This window comes from Homo sapiens, chromosome 4 (genome assembly GCF_000001405.40).
Source record: "Homo sapiens chromosome 4, GRCh38.p14 Primary Assembly".
NCBI classification, from domain to species: domain Eukaryota; kingdom Metazoa; phylum Chordata; class Mammalia; order Primates; family Hominidae; genus Homo; species Homo sapiens.
The window spans coordinates 148,780,591-148,803,094 of NC_000004.12; the positions used below are offsets into that span (position 1 = coordinate 148,780,591).

Consider the following 22,504-nt stretch of genomic DNA (forward strand, 5'->3'; position numbering starts at 1 on the left):
AGTCACACAACAGTAGGCCAAACCTAGGGCACTGGAGTCAGAGAGTGTATTAGTCTGTTTTCACATTGCTGATAAAGACATACCCAAGACAGCGTAATTTATAAACAAAAAGAGTTTTAATGGACTCACAGTTCCACATGGCTGGGGAGGCCTCACAATCATGGTAGAAGGCAAAAGGCATGTCCTACATGGAGGCAGACAAGAGAGAATGAAAGCCAAGTGAAAGGGGTTTTCCCTTATAAAACCATCAGATCTCATGAGACTTATTCACTACCATGAGAACAGTATGGGGGAACCGCCCCTGTGATTCAATTATCTCCCACTGGGAGATAATTATCTCCCGTCCCTTCCACAACACATGGGAAATATGAGAGCTACAGTTCAAGATGAAGTTTGGGTAGGGATACAGCCAAACCATGTCAGAGAGCATGGATTCAAATCTTGGTTTCAGCTCAAGGAGTAGAGTGACTCACGTCAAGCTACTTAATCCCCCTCTCAGTCCATTTCCTTCTTTATAAAGTACAACAGTACCGATTTCTGTGAGGATTAAATGGAGTAGTATGTAAACTGACAAACAGACTGCCTGGCACACATCAGCATTTAATAAATTGTAACTATTAGCTATTTTTTGTGTATCCCTAGAGAGGTAGCTTCCTCTGGGTGACACAGTTGGTTTCTATTGCCATCTTTACCATGTACTATTGTCAACATGCATGGGTGGCTTTATCTGTATGAACCTCAGTTTTTCCATCTGTCAAATGAGCATATTTTATGCCCACCTGTAGGGTTTCGTTTGGAGTATAAATGATTTAATATGTATATGAAGTACCTAGTACAGTGTTTGAAATGTAGGAGTTAACTCAATAGTAGCTACTATTATTACAATTTTAATTCATAATTCATCTCATATAGAAGCATAGTCTAACAAATAAAATCAACCACTGTGTGGTGTCTGTCTTTCCTCAGTAGCCTCTTTCTAGACAGATATAGAGGTGGATAGTGAGCAAAATGGCTAAGTATGTGAATGTATTACTTTTTTATTTCAATCTTAGAGTTGTCTGTTAATATCAGTACTGTCATGAGCATTGTACAGTGGGCTAAACTGACCAGTTCGAACAACACAGACTCTGACCTCTAGTAGCTGTCACGTGACGATGTGATAGTGGGAAGCAGAATGAAAGCTCTGCTTTTTTGATCACCAACTATCTCTCAAATACTCTACTGGTTTGCTTTACATATAGTTAATCACCACAACAATCCTAAGGGTAAACACTATTCTTGTCATTTCCAGTTTACTGATGCTTGGAGAGTTTATGTAACTGAGATCCTGGTTGTTCTGGTGCCAAAGCCCCTGCCATTTAACTGCTGCACGCTGAGCCCCTGAATGGGAATAGAAGTCGCAACATATCCAGTTCGATCTGGGCCACAATCTCAGCTGGTGAGCTGAGAATATCATACCGATTTCCACGCCTCAGTTTCCTCATCTCTAAAATGAGGCATTGTATTATCTAGACTTTCAGTTCACTCTAAGTCTATAGTTCTGTATGCATTGATTAGAAGAAATGAACATAATGATAATGAGAAGTGCATGTGTGACTGGGAAGGGGTGGGAATCTGATATCGTTGGAGAGAGGAAATAGGGAAGGTACATGCCCTTGCTTCTTATCCTTGCCCCTGTAGCTTGAGGCATGTATGCCTTCAGTGGGCAGACATGCTGAAGTTCTTAAAACATAAGCTAGCTCACATTACTCCAATCCCTTTCCGTCTCAATTCAGGTGAATGGCTCCTCCAATGGCCTATCAGACTTGCCCGATCGCCCCGTCACCCTTTATCTCACAGACCTTGCCTGCTCTGCCCTTACTCTCTCTGCCCCACCCTGTTGACCTCCTGCTGGTCCTGCAACATACCAGACATACTTCTGCCTCAGACCATCACACTTGCTGGTTCTCCCTGCCTGAACAGCCTCAAAGCTGGACCCCTCACCTTCCTGGGGACTTTGATGAAATGGTATTTTCTCCACAAGGCCTTCCCTGTCCACCTGCTTAAAATCACAAACCCCTTCTTCCCCAGCAATCTGTATATCACCCTTGCTTTGTTGTCTCCATAGCGCTTATCACCATTAAACACACTGTAGCTTTTACTTTTATATTTTTATCAATTGCCTGTCTTCCCTCCTATAGAGAGGGAGAAAAATGTTGTCTTTATTGATCACTGCTGAATGTCCCTGCCTCGAACAATCCTAGCACATGTTAAATGAGTGAATAATCAACATTTGAAAAATATAGAATAAAGCCAGGTAACCTTGTATATGTACATGTATCACTCATAGAAATAAACTAAAAGTTCATATTCACTAGTTAACTTTGCAAGATAACATTTACCTCAATTATTATCAGTCTGTAATGTATATCCAAACTTTGAATGAAGGATGAAAATGCTCTTTAGAAGAATGCCAAATTAAGAATTATCTGTAGATTTCAGTTTTTCTGCCAACAGTGCTTAAAACTAATTATAATTTATGTGTAAGCAAATGCTTAAAATTCCGAGTTTACACATTCTGTGGAAGTTCTATATCATAGCTATCAAAATCATTAAAACATCTTCAAAACTAATTAGCATATAATGTAGACTTACCAAAAAAAAGTAACTTATTAAAAAATTTTCTACTTAAATTTAATTATAATGATCTTGATTTGTTGCTGAAACCAGTATTGGGAAACTACCTTGTTACGATTTCTAGTGGAACCCCTGGCTATTTTAACCAGTGCTTCGCAAACTTTAATACGCATGTCAATTACCTCAGTTCTTGTTAAAATGCAGACTACGATTCAGTAGGTCTGGGGTAGTGCCTAAGTTTCTCCATGCCAAAGAGTCAGACAGGTGATACAGATGCTGGTATTCAGACCATCTGAAGTGAAGTGGAGCCAAATTCCTAGTACATCTTCCATCTCTTAATACACACACACACACACACACACACACACACACACACACACACACACACAATTTTTAGAGACGGGGTCTTGCTCTGTTGCCCAGGCTGGAGTGCAGTGGCACAGTCATAGCTCACTCTAGCCTCAAACTCCTGGGCTCAAGTGGTCCTCTCACCTCAGCCTTCCCAGTAGCTGGAAATACAGGCATGCCCACTATGCCTAGCTAATTTTTTTTTTAGAGATGAGGGTCTTGCTATGTTGCCCAGGCTGAAGCGATCCTCCCAGCTCCATCCCCCGAAATGCTAGAATTACAGGTGTGAGCCCCCACACCCAGCCCCTTCTCCTAATATTACCATTGTGGCATCAAATGAAACCAAAATAAGGGAGACATTTTTTGCAGGAGAAGCTTCATTGATACATTGACCAGCTGATATCATTTAGTGCTGAAAGGAAATGAAAAGGGAAGCTTGCTATTACAGACATCACATCAACTGGAGAAATAAGTGCAGGAGGACTGATTCACAGAATTCCCCTTATAACATCTGATGTTTAAAGAGATATAATAAGACATCCTGACTCTTCTGCAGGAGTAGAACTTGTTTCAGCCATATCCTAGCCTCAAACAGGGCTTTAATATTTCTAACTGTAATTACTTTATTTTCTAATAAAACAGCAGAGATGGGAAAAGAACTGAATCCTTTTTTTTTTGTTTTTTGAGAGATAGTGTCTTGCTCTGTTGCTCAGGATGGACTGATGGTGGCGGGGTGATCATAGCTTGCTGCAGCCTCAAACTCCTTGGTTCAAGCAATCCACCTGCCTCAGCCTCCTGAGTAGCTGAGACTATAGGGGCACACACCACTATGCCCGGCTAAAGGACTGAATAATGCTAAAACATGCAAGGACATTGATTGAGGGTGGGGGGCAACCACAGCTTTATTTTTTAATGCAACAAGCTTAGGAATTACACAGAAAATAATGAAAGCTTGCCTCTTTTTGCCATTGCACTCATTCAGTATGGGTCATAAAAACTTGGGGAAGAAGGTATATATCAAGTGGCTTTACACACATAAGGCTCAGTTTTATAGGTGGAGTGTAGCTCATGGGTGGAGTGATCCATATTGTGGCAGTAATTAAACATCATTGGTCTCCTCCCTGGAAGGAGTTCCATTTGTTTGAAGTGGGCAACCAAAACTTCTTTGGTAGTGGTTAGTGACAGCACCCAGAAACCTATTCCCAACTTGACTCTTGATTGATAGGAAAATATGGGAGGAGAACCATGTAAGATTTGTTTTTCTATGTCTGGAAAGCTCCATTGTTGAAGGAAATAATCCAAATATGTCTTCATGCTAAGTTGACTAATAGAGCTTTTTTCCACAGGGATCACTTTGATCAAATTACTTTGTGTTTTGTCTTCTGGTCTGGTACATGCTTTTGAATCAAAAGCATGTGTCAGACTAAACCACTGCAGTCAGGAAACAGGTAAAGTATTACTTTCCTAGCTGCTTCTAGGTTGGATGGCAGCAAAATCATCCTGAGTTATTCTCTTAACTGAATTGTGCAGTCTTACATTCCTCCCTTTTCCGTGTCCAGAAAAAGAAGGGTAATGGTCTCTGTTTTCCTATGTAACCAGGATCACATTCAACAACAGCTTAGGAACTTCTTTTGAGAGTAGAATAACCTCAAACTTCATCCTTCTTGTCTTTCTTTCTTTCTTTTTTCTTTCTTTCTTTTTTTCTTTCTTTCTTTCTCTTTCTTTCTTTCTTCCTTCCTTCTTTCCTTCCTTCCTTCCTTCCTTCCTTTCTTTCTTTCTCTTTCTTTCTTTCTTTCTTTCTTTCTTTCTTTCTTTCTTTCTTTCTTTCTTTCTTTCTTTCTTCTTTCTCCTTCCTTCCTTCCTTCCTCTCTCTCTCCCATTCTTTCTTTCTTTTCTTTCTGTTTTAGTTTCTTTCTTTTTCTTTTCTTTCTTTTCTTTCCTTTTTTGACAGTCTTGCTCTGTCACCCAGGCTAGAGTGCTGTGGCGCAATCAAGGCTCACTGCAACCTCCACCTCTCAGGCTCAAGCAATCCTCCCACCTCAGCCTCCTGAGTAGTTGGGACCACAGGCATGCGCCACCACACCTGAGTGATTTTTTGGTTGTTTTGTTTAATTTTTAGTAGAGACAAGGTTTTGCTGTGTTGCTCAGGCTAAATGACCTTACTCTTTCTCACTTCTGCAGTCATAAAACCAACCCCTTCATTTAAAGGATACTTATGATCGTACATTTATATGCTCCTTTAAGCAACATCATGAAGTTGAGACCGATTAGTTCCTCCTTATCTTCACAGACAAAATTGGCCACATGATAAATATTATATCTTTTCCTCAGAAGAGCCAGTCCTGGATCAATGTTAAACATTCCACAATTTGGTCTATTTCTTCAAGCAGTCTTGTTTTATTAGGGTTATAACAAATAAGCCAAATATTGCCTTTGCTCATCTCCGTTTTCTCCTGTGTACAAAGGTTTTCTATTTGTTAGGATTTCTTGAATTGCAGAGAGCCAGGATTGGAGGAGAATATATGATTTTTGAAAGACTAAACAATGTTACTACTTTCTTATAGAATTTTTCTTCCACATTTGGTCACATAATAAAAATAATAGGTAATACTTATGTCACACTCATGATGTGTCAACATTGAAAGGATTTTCCCTTTGTTAATGCATTTAAACTTTAAAGCCTCTCTGTAAGGGAGATACTGTTTTTCTGCTTTCCACACTGGGAAGCCGAGGCACAGAGTAGTTAAATAACTGGTCAAGGACCATGCAGTAGTAAGTGCCAGAGCTAGGATTTAAACCAGGCAACCCAGCACCCTAATCCATGCTCTTAACCTCTGAGGCATAATTTTTGTCACCAACTAAAGCAGACCTATGCCCTATAACTTCCAGTTCCTACTAAATTGCTTTTTTCTTTCTTAAATCCTATTTGGGGGTATAAGTTCTATGATTGAGTGGTAAGTAAGTGATCTTTCAGATTCACCAACTGCCTTCTCTCTTTGATAAGATTAGACTCTGTTGTTTATATTGCTTCAGAGTTTCTCCCCCTAATTCTCAATATTTTTTGTCTCAGTGAAAATGATTCTGTTTCTCACTTGCTAACAGGTTTCATGATCATGTAAATGAAAAATACAATAATTATAAAGAGAACTGTGGAAACTGTATTCAGGTCTGTTTTAGCATTTGAAACAGTCAAAATACAAAAATGAGTAATGTGGATTAAAGGAGCTAGCTTTACATGTCTTAGGAGGTAATTTGCAAATCAGAAATCTTATTTCCGTTTTATAGGCAGGCAGTGGGCATGCACGCCACGCACAACACAGGAATATGTTTGCTTAATGACTTACCAGATCTAGCACCAGTTCTGGTTTATGAGCATGGCCCTGACTGTTGCCATGTAGATGATGGATTGTAATAAATGTGTTCAAGGACGTTAGATCACATCTGCAAAGAGATTCAGAGAATATCTACCATACAGCGTGGAAGAATGTTGCAAACATTTCTTATTAAGAAAAGGCTATTTTTTTGTGTGTGGAGGTCTCACTTCATCTTTCTGTCCTTTATTCTTTAACTATGAAAACTATACAGTAAATTCTTTTGTCATTAAATCAACTTTCAAATCTACTAAAATATATCTTAGGATATAAGTTGTTACCATTAGATGACAGCTTTGTTTGAATTCACTTCATAGCCTTGACTTTCTTTGAGTTCATTTTTAATCAAAGCAATATATTGAATAAATGTATTATACAAAACAGCAGTTGTTGAATTCTGATGTGTGTGTGTGTGTGTGTGTGTGTGTGTGTGGTCATACAGCTAGGGACACACTTGCGTTTCAAGGTGGAAACTGGCATTCCAAATTTTAGTCAGAATTATTTTTATGGCTTAGTTATAAACCACAAAACCATGGCCTTATAATGTAAATGCTGACATAACCTTTTCTTACGCCCAGCTATAAATCAAGGTGCTATAAAACTCCATATTTGAAAATAAAGCTAGGTAAAATACTGAGTTAATGTTTGTTGGGAGAAAGAGAAAAGTCAATTTGCTAAAGTCTTTCAGTTTTAGCTTTGACTAAAATATAGACACTTTTGAGTGTCTCAGTAACAAAATAAAATGTAAACTGGTTAACAAATACAAGTAAAATTAATGTCAAGAATAGTTTTTAAGTAGAGAAAAAGAAACTTCAATTCGTCATTTACTACTTTTCAACCCAAAAATCAAATCTATGTATGCCATTGGGAATTGCTTCCCTAAGGAATTACATTTCCATCACACATGTTTTACTGGAGATTGCAAAGGTACTCAGTTCCTTATTACCAACTGTGGAAGGCTCAAGAGCAAGGGAGTCAAACAGGATAGTATGCCAGCAGAATTTGCATTGAACACTTGATGTCATGTGTCATCCGACACTGGCTTTTCCATCAGGTTATTTCAGGATAAGGTACTACTGAAAAAGCATAACCACTCTCAGTAGATGAACTGCTGACAAGTTTCATGGGTTTGGCTGGCATTCCAAAGTTTATTTGAGTTAATCTGCATTCTCATTGGCCTGCAATGCTCAGTGAAAACTTCCTTTCAGTGAACACTTTCATTACTTTCTGATTGTACTGGTATCAGAAACACCACAACAAAAAATCTGGAGAGACAGACTTTTATAGGAATAATTGTTTTAGGGAAGGGAGAGGTATGAAGGGTATCTGTTTATTGTTTTTGTAACACATGGCAACTGCAGGCTGTGGTATTTACCAACGCCAGCCTAACTGGTTTGATGATGACATGTTCTGAGGAACCATTTGGAATTTATAGTTTCTGCAGTGGGCTCCAAAGTATTCTCATTAATTGATTAAATAGAAGGTACTAAGGGGTAAAATCTATTCTGAAATAGCACTGTGAATCTGCAGAAATTTTAGTTGTGTTTTTAATCTCTGTAGATAATAATTAAGCTGAAAAAGTGGTAGGAAAAAGAGAAAACACCACATGTCACTGAATCTTAGGACCTTAGGGCTAAAAGAGACATTATAAGTTATATGATAATTCTCAAATTTCCTTTTATTATATCTTACCATTTGCTATGAAAAAATCTGATTGCTTTCTGGATGATAATGTATATAAAATGCCGTTTATGGTTTGGTTGTGGTTATAGAAAACCCGTGTTCCATTTAGATCACTCTGTGTGAGTGTGCCACTGTAGTTGTGAAAGTTTGGTTGGAGATATATTTGGGGGTTTGATTATACATACAAAGATTGATAGCTGAGTGGGAAAGGAGGCACCACCTTGGGTTAATAGAAATGCATGGGTAAACAGAAATAACTCTATTGTTGGGCTTTGTCAAAAGATCGATTTGAAAACACAGTTTAATCCTGGAAGCCAGATGAACCCTCTCAAATCCTGAGGATCTCATCCCTGCAATGTGAAAAAGGCCAATCTGCTGCACTTAGCAGTGCTGGGGCAATGAGAAAGGCAGCAAAGAAGGGTTCCCTTTCCACCGGTGGCTGTTCCCAGCCATCTTCAGGGCTTATCCCACTGTTCAGTCTGACTGCCTTTTGTGTCAGGAGGAGAAGGGGAGCGAGACCCTGAATCTCTGCTACATGAAGCAAAAATTTAAAGAGAACAGTGGGGAACGATTCACTTTGAGTGGGTACAGATAGTGGAAGGAAGCATGACGTACCCATGTCTTTCTCAAGATACAGTAACTCGACCCTCTGTTAAAATGTGGCACCAAAGATGCCAGCTTTAGTTCAGAGTGGAATGTATTCCTTCCATAGGGCAGCGGGAGGGGCTAAAGCTTGGGTAGCTATTTCCTCCTCTATAAGCAGAGGATGGCACTATGGGGAGGGGAGGGAGAAATATCCTTCCCCAACACCATACTTCCCTTCTGACAATGGGATCCTTGGCATAGTCTCCATACCAAGTTACTGTCTGGAGCTTGCTTATATACCTCCGTAAAGTGGATGTTACTCCCAGCCATCCGTTAAAATTCAACATACAAGTAGGAAGTTCTAATATGGAACCAAATCTGTCCCATCACTTCCACCACATGCTTTGGTATTGTACTTGGAGCAGCAGAGAACAGGGCTCATCATACCACTGATTTCCAGATATTTGAAAGTTTTCTCTCTCCATACATCCCTCCCCCTAAAAATATGACATCAACTCATGAAATAGAAACGCATTCTTGAGAGAGCAATTGGAAGTGTTTTCTGAAAAACAGAGATACTTAAATCAGTTTCCTCTTAGGAGCCCTTCTTCCCATCATCATATTGCACCAGGGGAAGTTGAGGCTGGAGCCTGTGGGAAAAGTGGCATTGACTGGCAGGGTAGCCCAACAGCAGTGCTATGGGGACTTACAATGCCTCTTCTCTCCTCTCACTAGACAGCATTGACGGCTCCTGCCCCTCTGTGTGAATCTCCGTTTGCCTCTGCTCTCCAAAGTGAAATTCTGCACAGTCGGGAGGATTGGTGCAGAGTTAAGACACGTAGAGCCAAGAAAATAAAGAGTCAGATGTCCCAGCAGCTTTCAGTGCATCCCGATTCTCACCACCCCCAGAGCACCATAAAAGTAGGAGGGACCAGATGAAGACATTTAAAAATTGGTTCTGCTCCACAGTGATCTGGTGCGAGCTGGGGCTCAGCTGCCTTGGGGTGGCTTGAGAGGCTCCTCTCTGGGGTCGGGACATTGAGGTGGCAGCTCCACTTCTCTCTGAGACCCCTTGATGCACCGTAACTTGAGGTAGGAGAATGAAACTTTAAAAAACATATTTAACTTAACATACAATCTAATGAAACCAAATACCATAGAAATCCAACAGAAGTGTATATTCATAGTAATGGCCAACTTCTGGTCTTTAGCAGAGATCTGTAACTGAGACAAGTGTGTGGGTGTTTGTGTCGGCTCCGTGCCATTCATTGGGTCTACAGTGAGATCTGTGTGAGTTAGGAATTCCATGTATCCCATACGTTACAAAGGAGAAAGGAAGTGTATTTATGTGATGTGTTAAAAAAAAACAAACAAAACAAAATAACCTCCCTCCCGCCATAATGTAAAGGCCCACACTTTTTGAACTGTGTACTGGCTGCTGGGGAGTGAGTTATATAAACTAGAGAACTTTCTCTGACATGAATCTGAGCTGACATATGCATTGTTGCACGGCCGCTTATGTAACAACCATTTTGGTGGGGAATTACTGATTGAGTACTTTGCATGACTATGAAAGAAACATTCATAAGAAAGAACAAGTGTAATATGAAATGCAGATAAAGTAAACTTACTTTTCAGCCACCTGCATATGACTTGGCAAAATGTGAGCCTCTGTAATCACCATGTAGGAATGTAAGATCTTCCAAGTTCTTTCGTAACCTTGGGAATTCATTAAGAGTATTGGGGTCTGTCACGGGGTAAGTGTTGAGTGGATGAGGTTGAAAGAGCGGCAGATAAAGCTTCCTTTATTTCTTTCTTATTACATCACATGAACCTCTGTGTCCCTAACCACATTAAGAAAAAAAAAAGAAAAAAAGAAAACTCTAAATAATGATTGATAAAATGCCAAACAACTTCAGACCTTTGTTGACATTTGCTCTCTTGGAATTCCTAATGACTATATGACATATAACACTAAAGTAATGTAACTTTAAAAAAAGCCAAAAAAATACAAAAAAAAATATGCATTACCTCTTTTGAAGCGGTCATGCTGGAATGCTAGCACTTAACTCAATAATTATTCAAAATCACTTCTATAATCTCTCTGCAAGGGTCTACAGTTCCAGGGATATTACTATGAGTGGCTTAGGGTGTGCCTTGGCCTTGGCAGTCTGGCACATGCATCTTGTCTAGTACCCCCTTTTATGGGGAAATTTGATCTAAAAAGATCAACTGATGTGTCCAAAGTCACAGAGAGCTGGGACCAGGGCCAAGATCTGTTTTCCAGGATAGCATTTTTGCCACAGCATCCTTCTGCCTTTTTCCTTCGTGGGTGGACTTAATTTTTGGAGAGAAAAAAGTGTAAGTTGCTCAAAGCCAAATCCAGTGAATAAAATGGGTGATCAACTCCGTGCAATGTGGCAAACCTTCTCTGGGTACCAGCTATATACAAAGCATCTTGACAAAGCTGCAGGGGACATGAGAGATTCTGAGGTGCAGGTCGTGACGTTAAATTAACTGCAATCAACAGGTCAAAAAAATGAGCTATGCTTACAGTGAAATTCAGAGCAGTTTCCTTGGATTCTTGATTCTGTATTATGTCCATAGACTTGGATTGATAAAACCATGGGAGAAAGCACTTACTTTAGTTAAGTACCTATTTGCTGTGTCCTTCTTTCGAATTCATGACAGAATTGAAATGAACAAAAGTGTTAGTTCATGAAAAGCATAATGAGTCTTTAAAATGAAAATGGGACCTAACATTTTAGGTAAGGGTACAATTAGTATTTTCTGTAAACACTGTGTACATATATTTGGGATATGTGTGTACTGCCAAGTTGCTATGTGGATACCTTTGGGGAAATAAAATCAACACATCCAATCTGTGGCCACAGACCTTTAATCAATCCTCTGCTATTCTAGAGTCTTTCAGATATGGTCAGCTCTTAAACCTGCTGCTTTTTAAAACCCTGAAATAAAAACAATAAATACTTGGTTAATGTAGTTTGTCTGTTTCAATTAATTTATATTATGGTGACAAAACTAGCCTAGAAATGCAAGGTCATTGTCGCCATCTTTTCCTATTGTTTATGTATAAATAAGATGAGTGTCTTTTTATAGGAATACCTTTCTATTGCTTACCATCAATAGAGTTGTGAGTTAGTTTTCTAGTAAGAATGTTCACTTAAGAGATTAAGACTTGTTGAACACACATTAGATGTCTGGCACATTTTATAAGTGGTTAATTATTTCATTTATACATTTAATCCTCATACTAACTCCCTGAGGTAAGTGTTACTGACTCAGTAAGGGAACTGAGGCTCAGAGAGGCTAATATATAAATTACCCAAGGTCACAGAATGAAAAAGCAGCTGTACTGAGATTTAAACCCAGACCTATGTGTTGCTAATCTATATTCTTTTTACTACATTATCTGTGCATGTGTCTTTACATCAGAATGCTTTGTAGTCTTTCCCTGCTATAATCAAGGGTATACAGCGCCAGATTACTGGCTTTGTAGGAGGAACGAGCTGGAAATAAATGGTTGAAAAAGTAGGAAATGGTAATTAGTTAGGTGATCTAGAAACTCTCAGATCCCATCCTTGGCCTACCACACTTCCCTGAAAAACCTCCAAGGAATACATATGCACAGAAGAGAATGTGTGGCAAACACAAGCACTTTACTATTATCTGTGTCTTTGACCAGTAGTTCTGTGCATTTCCTTGGGGATCTAACCTGGACCTCGTGGAGAATCCCCAAACACCTACTTAGACTGGAAGCTGTCCCAGGTTCCTCCTTTCCCACTGCCTCTTTCTGGTTCCCACTTGGCTTCTAAGGGGATAGGGGATAGAGGGGGCACATATTCCTAACTGGGACCAGGGCCTGATCCTGTTTTACTTTGCAGGGAAGAAGCAAATTCAGAGACAGGTTTTTGGGTTCTTTCCATGAGAGAACAAATCCTGGAGACCTGCGTCCTTTAATCCTCACTTTCTGGCACACTCCGATTTTGACTTCTATCCTAAATCCTATGAAAATTGTTAGCCTGAGGACCAAAAAATGATACATCCATAGCAGATGGATGAAGGATAGCAAAACAGTGATGGTATAGTACAGAGGTTGGTGGGGAAGCTATCAGTGAGCAGTATGCATTGACCTGATGGATGTCCAGCTCATGATACTATCTTTATTCATCCTGTGCACTAATTTTCTGAGTCAACTAACCTCTATCTATTTTAAGTTTGGGTGAAATCATTTCAGCAAAAGGATAAGATAAATACACATGAGTCACATTTGACCAAGACCTTTATGCGTTTTAGTGGAAATGATTTGATGTGCACTTTGGGATTGAATACCTTCAGAGAAGAGAGTCGCTCACCAAATACCTGAAACAAGTATTCTCCAAATCTGCAGCTGATGGATTTAGCTAATGGAAACAATAATTATGGAGTTTCATCTTTTTTTTGCCCAAACCTATCACTAAGGCTTTGCCAAACTTTCAAACATATCAAATCAAACTTACTAGCTCATACAGTTTCCAAGCTATATTACATAATAGGGCTGTGTGCGGTTCTATGAAGCTAGGCCCACCTTTTCTAAGAATGGAGATTCGTTTACTGTTCTACCTAGAATAAATGGCTAAGCATGGGCAAGGAGTTTCAAAGAAGTCTTGATGAATTGAGATAATTCTGGGACAAAACACCTATTTGAGTCCCAACAGATAAATATTACTATTTTATCACTTACATGTATAGTTTCTCTTGCTCCTTAAATTTTGCCTCCTGTTGGTGCAATCTTCAGGAGTGTGTTTTGTATCTATGTTTTCTAAAGTGGAATTCAATGTGGTAGATACTATTACTTGACAGGTCAAAAGCTATAACCTCTTTCTGCCTAACAAAATCCCGAGTTTGCCTCAGTGGGCTATGTACCAGCTCATGAATCATGATCCAACCCATTGTGACAATTCTTTCTGCTTTGCCAGATACTTGCTATTTAGCCTTCTTTTCAGCAAGACATGGCCATATGACTCAGTTCTGGCCAATATGGCATAGAGGAATTCTTCCTGGGGCTTCTTTTTTCCTCCTTGATTAAAAAGAAAACATAGCCCCCTTCCTTCCTGCTTGAGACCCTGAAGTGAGGATGTGATTCTTTGAAGTACAGCAACCATCTTGCAATCATGGGGTAGCAAGCACGAGGAAGAAACGGCCATGCCCTGTGCATGGTAGAGCAGAAGGATGACTGGCCTGCTGCACTCAGTCACATCCCTCTGCAATAAGATATGGTCCCAGGGAGTGAGGTTGAAGAGGTAGACCACTGCAGGCCACTTAGATACGTCATGAGAGAGGAAGCCTAAGGTGCTTCAAGAATAAGCAAAGATAGCACAAATGAGGGGCACCCATCTCAAAGTTCCGAAAGATGGTGCAGGCAGATCAGGAGTTAGCCAGACAAAGATGGATGGAAAAATCCCAAAAAGAAAGGAACCCAAGCAGAGAGACCAGCATGTCAAAAGCAATGCTATAAGAGAGAACATGGCCTGATTGCTGAGTTTCTGGGGTGTAGTTCAGGAAGATGGAGCATCAATGGCCAAGCAGGTAGTGAGGACAGATGAGGCTAGAGAGCAGGGCAGCATCCTGATCCTAAAAGGTCTCTCATGATGGATGGCAGATTTTGTACTTTATTCTGATGATGGAATGCTATTGAGGGAATACTAGATGTTATATGACTATATATCATACATTATATTTTATATTCTAGAAGTTCTAAAACTTGGAGACAAAGAGATATGTTGGGGTGAGGAAGAATATGGGGGGATATAATGGATATTTAATCTTCTAACAAAATGCACAGACTTCACTCACTGTGTCTTACCCTGGGTCAGTGATATCCTAGGAAAAGCTCCTTTTGGTATCAACGGGAAGTTTTCACACATAAAGATTAGGGGGTCGTGTCTCTGAGTATGAAACACATGAGGCAGATTCTTAAGCTAAAGCATTCATACCAGCTGGGAAGAGGGGTTTTCCCGAGGAACAGTAACTTCCCTCTACATCCAGGAAAGCCTCATGGTGTGGATGGGCGTCCAACAAGCAGGCTGTTCTGGCCCTCTTTGGGTGCTGACTCTGTGTTCCCAAGGGCCATTGATAAGCTAAGCAGGAATAGTGTAACCACAGGAATGCCTGCTGATAACAGGAAAGTAGGCGGCTGCATTCCTGAGCCATGGCTGATGCTGCTCCATCCACTGCCAAGGTGTAGAAAAAAGAGACAAAGTAGTAAATTCTAAAGATTTGTCAGTCTGGGTTGGCAGCTCTTAGAGAATGGATATGTGGCAAATATGTCTCTCCCTCTGTGTGTGTGTATGTTTGTGTGTGTGCGTGTGCGTGTGTGTGTGTGTGTTAGAGAGAGAGAGAGAGAGAAATCTGTGCCAGAGCTGAGGCACAGATCCTATCTGTGTATAGAGGTGTGCTACTCTAGTGCCCTGTCTCCAAGCCTTCAGGGAAGACTACTTGACCAACTATTACTCCTGCTTCAGATGTGGAACCTGCTAGAAGCCTGCCTTTACCTTCTAATACTTTGACTCTAGCAGCCTGAGAGCCACACAATTCAAAATGCAAACTGGGCTCTCCACGATCTCTACCTACCACTTCATCCTCCTTCCCCGCCACTTCTCTAAAACCAGCTTTCATGAACACACACCTGCTTTGCACATGATTTCTCTTCTGCTTGGCAGAATCCTATGTACCTTTCAAGATCAGCTTAGGAGTCCCTTTCTCTAGGAAGGAGATTTTCCCTCCTCCTAGCTCCTCACGGAAATGATAACTATACCTCTCAGGGTTCCTTTTATTCCTTAAACAGTGTCCCTTAACTCATTGGATCCTTCTTTACATTTTTACAAGTCTCTCTTGCATTAGACTGGGCCATGAGCTCTTGAAAGTAGGAACATGTTTTATTTATGCCTGTATCCTCAGTGCCTGGCATTTGATAGTAGACTCAATATATTTTCTCAGTGAAAATTAAGGGATGAATGAATTTTAGGTAAAAATAAGAGGCTATTTTGAGATTTCTTGATAAATATCTTTGAAGCAGTTTGGGAATACAAATATAATAATTGGTAAAAATCTCTGTTAAAAAGGATGTTCAGACTATCTCAGCCTGGTGTTCATGGTAAAAATCAATAATGATAAGTTAGTCATGTTGATAGCCTGTACCTTTGGTATGATGGGAAGAGAATGGCACTTTGCCTCTGTGGTCTTCCTCCCAAAAACCCATGACCTCAGTTTCATCATGAGAAAAACCCCAGACAAATTCCAACCAGTAGACATTCTACAAAAATTTCTGACCAATACTTCTCAAACTGTCAGGGTCATCAAAATCAAGAAAAGTTTGAGAAACTATCACAGCCAAGAAGAAGAGTCTAAGAGTCATGAGGACTAAATGTAATGTGGTCTCCTGGATGGGATTCTGGCACAAGAAAAGGACCTCAGGGAAGTTGGGAAACCTAGATGAAGCATGAACTTTAGCCAATAATAATATCCGTTTTGGTTCATTAATGATAACAAATGTGCCATACTAGTGCAAATTCCTGATAACAGGGGAATTAGGTGCAGGTATATGGAGACTCTTTACAACTTCTCTATAAATATAAACTCCTCTTTAAGAAACAAAGCATTCAGGCATTGCTATGAGCTATTGGAGCAGAGAAAGATCAGGGAAGCTTCAATATGGAAGGTTCTGAATATAAGGATTTTGAGTAATTAACCCAGGTTAAATTTCTTCAAAGGATCATGGATTTCTACCATTGTTCTTGCAGACACACGTGCACACTCTCAGTTATCTTTCTCTCTCTCTCTCTCTCTCACACACACACACACACTACACACAAAACTGAACATTCATGTCTGTCCACACAAAAGTGTGAGGAGAGGCCATCCAGGGACAAAAACTACCAATTGAGGGAAAGAGTAGAGAACAGAATGAAGGAGGAGGTGAGCAAAATAAATTGTTAAGGTGCTGATTCATCTCTCCTGCCACTGTACAGGTAGAGACCTCAACTTAATTTAATCTATTTTTGGAAATTAAAAAATACATCATTTTATTTTGGATAAGATCTTTTGGAGTGACACAGGGTAAGAATCATTTCCTTTGACCTGGTTGATTTCACTGTGATATAAATGTAATAAAGTTAGCTTCATTTCATTATTATGAGACATTCTTTCTTGTCTACTGCTGTAACTCTAATTCTTGGAACAATGCCTGGGATATAGTTGTCACTCAATAATTATTTACTCATAAATGAATACACGACAAACATCTGTGCTAATGGCAAGTAATTCCATGTACACTGTCATACTTGTGCCTCTTGAGAACTCCATCTTGAAGATTCTTAAGGTCATAGAAGAAGCAATAGCAAGGGACAGAACTAGGGCTTGAACCCAGATCTGCCTGGGTGCAAATTTCATGCTGTTTTGGGACTGACCTGGTGCTTTAATTCCTTTTGTGTCCTTAGTTCCTGGCAAGTAATAGGCATTCCACAAATATTTATTAAAATATACATCTTCTTTGCATAATATCACTTCTGAGCGTTTGGTAGGGAATTTATTCTAGCCTTTGTCCTTCGACCCAGGGCTGCAAGTGTTTGCAGCTACCATAGCCTTAAGTATTTGCTCATAACCACAGATGCTGGCCTTACTCTTAGGTTAAAGGCAACAAAAGCCTAATTAACAGTCTTGGCCATATAAATTAATTTCCATCTGAAACCATATTCATTTTTTTGAATTACCATACCCCACCACTGATTTATTATATATGGGATTTGTCATATATAACATGAGTTTTATATATATATATATAAAATACATATATATAAAATATATATATATAATATATATATAAAATATATATATATAGAGAGAGACAGAGTTCATATATATGTTTATATAGACATATCATTTATATATGTCTATATAAATTCTATATATAGTTTGTATTTCTATAGAAATTCTATATATAATTTATATGTATATATAAACATAAACTCTCTCTATATGTGTATGTATATATATATGCACACACATGTAGAGTTTACATATATATGTTTATATATAAATGTGTGTGTGTGTGTGTGTGTGTGTGTATATATATATATGCCTAAACTGGCCCTCTATGTCTGACTTTGTAGGACTGGTGGGCTGTGGAATCTCTTCAGGAGATTATAATCCTATGAGTTGATTTTTTTTTTGAGATAAAGCACAAAGAATGAGATTTATGCACACAAAGACAACAGGTGGAACTGGCATAGCATTTACCCTTGGTCTGAGAGATGGCCTGGGCCACTTTGAGAAAGGAGTAGAGCTAGAAGCTGGCAGCCCAGCTTTTAGGAGAGCCTGTGAGAATATAGTCCTGCTTCAGTCCCCACAGGGCACAACTGAGTAGGGGACACTGGCTTGTGGCTCAGGCACTCCCAGGACTGCCGCACTGGAAACAATTCATACTTGTGGCATGGACCTGGCTGATTCCACAGAGGGCATTGGGAACAGGCTACGTCGAGGTTCCTGGAGGAAAGAGCAGGAAAATGGGAACAGGAGCAGACATATTTCTGAGCTCTCTGGAGAAGCCACCGTGGGATGCCTAGAACAGATGGAAGGCGGCTTGAGAGCATGCTGAGCTCCTCCAGTCATGATGAGGAGGGTAAAGGGCTGCCGTAGTTTGGTGATGAGGAGGGTAAAGGGCTGCCGTAGTTTGGACGGTAACATTACTAAGACTTCACATAGGAACGAAGCCTGGAAGTATTCAGGTTATGGGGATAGCTACCCAACAATGACTAGTATATGCAATTTGGATATTAGAATAGTTATTATTAAGGAAATGCCTAAGTGAAAAAAACCCTGAGGCTTCTTTGACAGAAGGAGAAAGTAATGCCAAGTGACAGGTGAATAAGTCTTGTTGGTTTTGGCTTACTGAAATTAAAGGGATTGGTATGAATGTTGTCACTTGATTTTCTTGATAAGTAGTTGATAACTAGCATTAGCAAGAAAATTTTGCAATAGTAAATTTCATTACTAAAGGAATAGTGACCAATCCTCTACACACCATTATTTTAAAATAGTAATGGTTTCTCATGGTTAGAAATACTGTAGTAGGTCTTAGATGCCTCTAATCATTACCCTAAAATCTATCTCTTTCTCTTAAGTGGCTGGGGGGAAAGTGATCTTGAATTTGTTTTCTTCCAAGACTTTATAAGGCAGAGGAATGGGATTGCTAGTTGTCACTTACAGCCTGGGCCAAGGAACTTGAGAAACGAAGTTTTAGTGGGAGGCACAAGGCTAAAAGGAATTTTTTAAAAGGCACATGCATAACATTTAAAAAATTATTTCTTGTCTTTTAAAAATCCTTTCTGAATTACAAGTGATAAATAGGTTGAGCATTAAGGAAATGAAGTAGTCTTCAAATTATGGCTTTATCAAGCTTCAAAATCTGCAATGAAAATTTTAGACAACTTGAATCAAATCAGTTACCACTCAGCTAAGAGTAATAACTTTTATGCTTTTCTAATTAAACAGATTTCTACAGACTTGTTTCGATAAGGTATTTTGTTCATTGTTCAAGTAGACATTTCTCCTTCTATGCTAAAATATTTTGAAATAAAAGACCTTTACCTTATTGCCACACATTTCCCATTGCTCTACACATAGTAGGAGTGTGAGATCCCTGTCTGCTCACCTTCGTAAAGTTTCCCATTGTCTGCACATAGTAGGAACTCCATAACTACATGAATGGCAGTGTTTGCCTTGTAGACTGCAAAATTCTGTCGTCATTTTCTTTCTTCTTTCCAATCTTGGATATTTGTGTACCTGTGAAATACATTAGTTGAGTTTTATCAGTGGAAATCTCAGGATACAGTTAATAAATTTTGCAATAACTGAAGTTTAGTAACTTGATGAGTTATAAGTAATTTCCTTGAAAATCAAGAACAGGTTTTCTGTTACTCTATTTTAGAAGATTGTAAAGTAGCCTCCATAATACTTTTTTTCTTCCAGGAGTGTAAAGAGACTGAAATTAGGGAGAAGAACCAGTAAATACAGTATATAGTATACATCCTTTATTACTTATTCACGAGAAGTTGAATACCTCCCTAAAAAAACTCCATCAAAAGTTATTTTTTTAAGTGTATGTTGACATTTCCTTATAGTTTTTGGCATGGTTATCTCAACTCTGTTGCACACAGTGCATTGCTGAGAATGTATTTTTCCAAAATTTTTATTTCACTCCCAAGATAGTGCTAGAAACAAGTCAATCATTGTTTCTGGAAGAAATTGAAATTAATATTACCCTTGAGGATCAGGAAAGAGCAGATGAAACCAAGAAAGTGTAATGTGCTTCATATGGCTGGGAATCAAATACTGAACCAATCATATTTTGGCATCTGACATTAAATCTTATTGTTCCTATTTGTAATAGTATTTTCTCTCTTATACTGCCTCTGTGCTTTGAATAAATGAGGGTGCTCACAGCTGAGCTGATTGCCATGGTTACAGGCAATCTGTGTGTTACATCTCCTGGAAGCAAAAAATTGGGTAGTTGAAGGTAAACATTGTCCTTCTTTTACTGAGAACGGTTCTCTCCAGGTGGCACCCCTGACTCATGCTCCCATTGAAAACTTTTAAGGAATGCATTAAGGTTCAGGTGCTAGTCCACCCTCCTGTCCTGCTCATAAATGCACACCCTTGATGCCTGATGCTATTTTCATCTCCAAAAGGCCAGCTAGCTTGGTTTCTGGAGACTGGGGGCTGGGAGCAGGTTTAGAGTTGCAGACATAAATAAATCTGTGAGACCTATAAAGTTATATTTATTATTATAATGTATTTGGTAAGCATTGGTTTTGCCATTGGCACCAGACAGTTGAATTTTGATACTTCTGATGTTGCAATAGCTAGCACTAACAGCGCTGGAACTAATGCCATGTCTTTCCTCTCTCCCCAGGGGGTTGTGGCGAGTTGAGCCTTCAAGCTCTGTGAGTAAAGAGCTGGGCTACATTCAATCTTGTTTAGTTAAATTCATTTTCCAAGCATGTATTTTTTTTCCTTTACAATTCATCAATTCATTGATGTATTGACCCATTACAAGCAACAAACGCTGGGTGTGTGGTGGAGGCGGGTGGTGGGTGGGGCATTGGGATACATAAACTCCTTTAGGAAAGGGGTTGGCCAGACATCATGTTTTCCTAACTCCCAAACCACTTACCAGGTAAGAAAAGTACTTTACCCCTAGTCTTCTTGGCCAGGTAATCTCTCTGCACCCCCAGGGCTAGAAGATCATGGAATATGGTGGAAGAAAATGCCTCAATCATCCCAAGCATGTATTAAGAGCCTACTGTGTGCTGGGTGCTCTACTAGGCTCTGAAATTACAAAGATAAATTAGTTTCTTCTCTCTCAAGGAGCTGAGTCAAACAATTGTTATCTTTCCAAGGATGAAAGAGTGAGCAATAAAAGATTTCTTTAGACTTTTCATTCAGGTTTTCCAAAGAACTTGACTGTGGCTGAGAGTAGCATTTTCTGTTTGTTGAAAAAAATGTTGCATGTGTGACAGGCCATGATTGACTCTGAATGTTTCAGTGATCATGAAGGGTGGAGCTAGTAACTTCCTTCTTACTTTACACATTTTTCTGTATAGTTTAGTCCATATTTTGTATTTCCTTGTGTCCCCATTTAGTTTATTTTTTTCTATCTACTCTTTTTGTCCTCCTCATAATATATTTATAGCTAATTTTTAGCCCCCTTTCTCTCTCTTATTATAGCTAATTCCCTTGGTGGTGTAGTTCTATTGAAATTGGAATAGAAATAGGGAAGTTAATATTATAATTCATTACCAATGAGTTCATACTTTTCTTTGCATAAGAAAGATATTCGTGGCATGAACTAAGCTGACTGGTTTGCTCCCTGGACGGAAGACGTTTTATTTCTTTGTTACAGATCCAGCTTTTGGGCAAGGGTTGCTATTTTGTACAAAGCACTTTTTAAGCCTGATTCTGTTGTGCAGGAAGGCATCCAAAGAAAGCGCAATGTTTTAGGTAAACTGGTCAGTACCAGATCTTGATTGAGATGTATTCATTCCCTTTCTGTTTGTTTAGAGTGGTCTGGTCAGTCTTTTAGCGAAAATGTCTTTTAGAAAATGTTTGCTCATCTTCAGAATTAACTATGGGCAGAAAACCTTGCTCTCCTGTCCCTGAAAGAAGAGAACCCATCTAGAATTGGACATACATTCCAACAATTTAGCTTCCATTTCAGAAGCTAGTCATCTTTAAAGAACTATCTGGTTGAATTTTAATACTGATGTGAGAGTTTTCAACACATTCAATATTCATGCCAGTTGCTTTTCCTTGCCAAAATGGGATACATTTTTATTTTGTCTAAATAGATTCTTTGGTGTTTGGGCTGTTCAGATAGATTTGCCTCATGGATTTCAGAAGGGTCCTTAAGCCTTTTCATCTTGATATTACTGAGATTATCTTACTTTTTGCAAGGATATGAAAAGGAAAGTGCAGTGTAACAGTGGGCCTGTCCTTTTGCCATTTTTGGCCACATTGTGGCTCCTGTGTTTGCTCGTGACAGTAGGGCACTTACAAACTGAGAACTGGACATGGACTAGGGCATGAAAGAGGTATATCCATTCATGGAATGGAGAAAATCTTTGAATAGTTAGACTTTTGGCCAAATTATTAGAAGTATATTTTTGCAAACAATTTTAGGTTGCATTTTTTAGAGTCTAACATATCACTACATCAATCTCCCTGCTTTCTGAAGGTAATTGCCGCAAGAGGTATTAATCAGTTTCAGAAAGGGTGGATATTTGCAAACCTAGTAGGTCTCTAGGATTTTAGGCAGTGGTTAAAACAGTGGTGTGTTTTAGTAC

General features: G+C 39.2%; 2 long non-coding RNA genes across 3 annotated transcripts in view; one reads left to right on the forward strand and one right to left on the reverse strand.

Moving 5' to 3' along the window:
* Positions 1-22,504, forward strand: part of LOC107986195 (uncharacterized) — a 496,338-nt gene that overhangs the window by 244,070 nt on the left and 229,764 nt on the right. The gene's annotated exons all lie outside the window — the stretch shown is intronic.
* Positions 3,254-22,504, reverse strand: part of LOC105377481 (uncharacterized) — a 51,454-nt gene continuing 32,203 nt past the window's right edge. For both annotated transcript variants that reach the window (XR_007058322.1, XR_001741437.2), the window contains 8 exons: positions 20,836-20,990; positions 19,315-19,445; positions 17,901-18,146; positions 14,600-14,836; positions 11,500-11,572; positions 10,235-10,447; positions 6,309-6,405; positions 3,254-3,376 (listed from right to left, as the gene is read on the reverse strand). This is a non-coding gene — a long non-coding RNA (uncharacterized LOC105377481). The remainder of the gene's footprint in view (positions 3,377-6,308; positions 6,406-10,234; positions 10,448-11,499; positions 11,573-14,599; positions 14,837-17,900; positions 18,147-19,314; positions 19,446-20,835; positions 20,991-22,504) is intronic.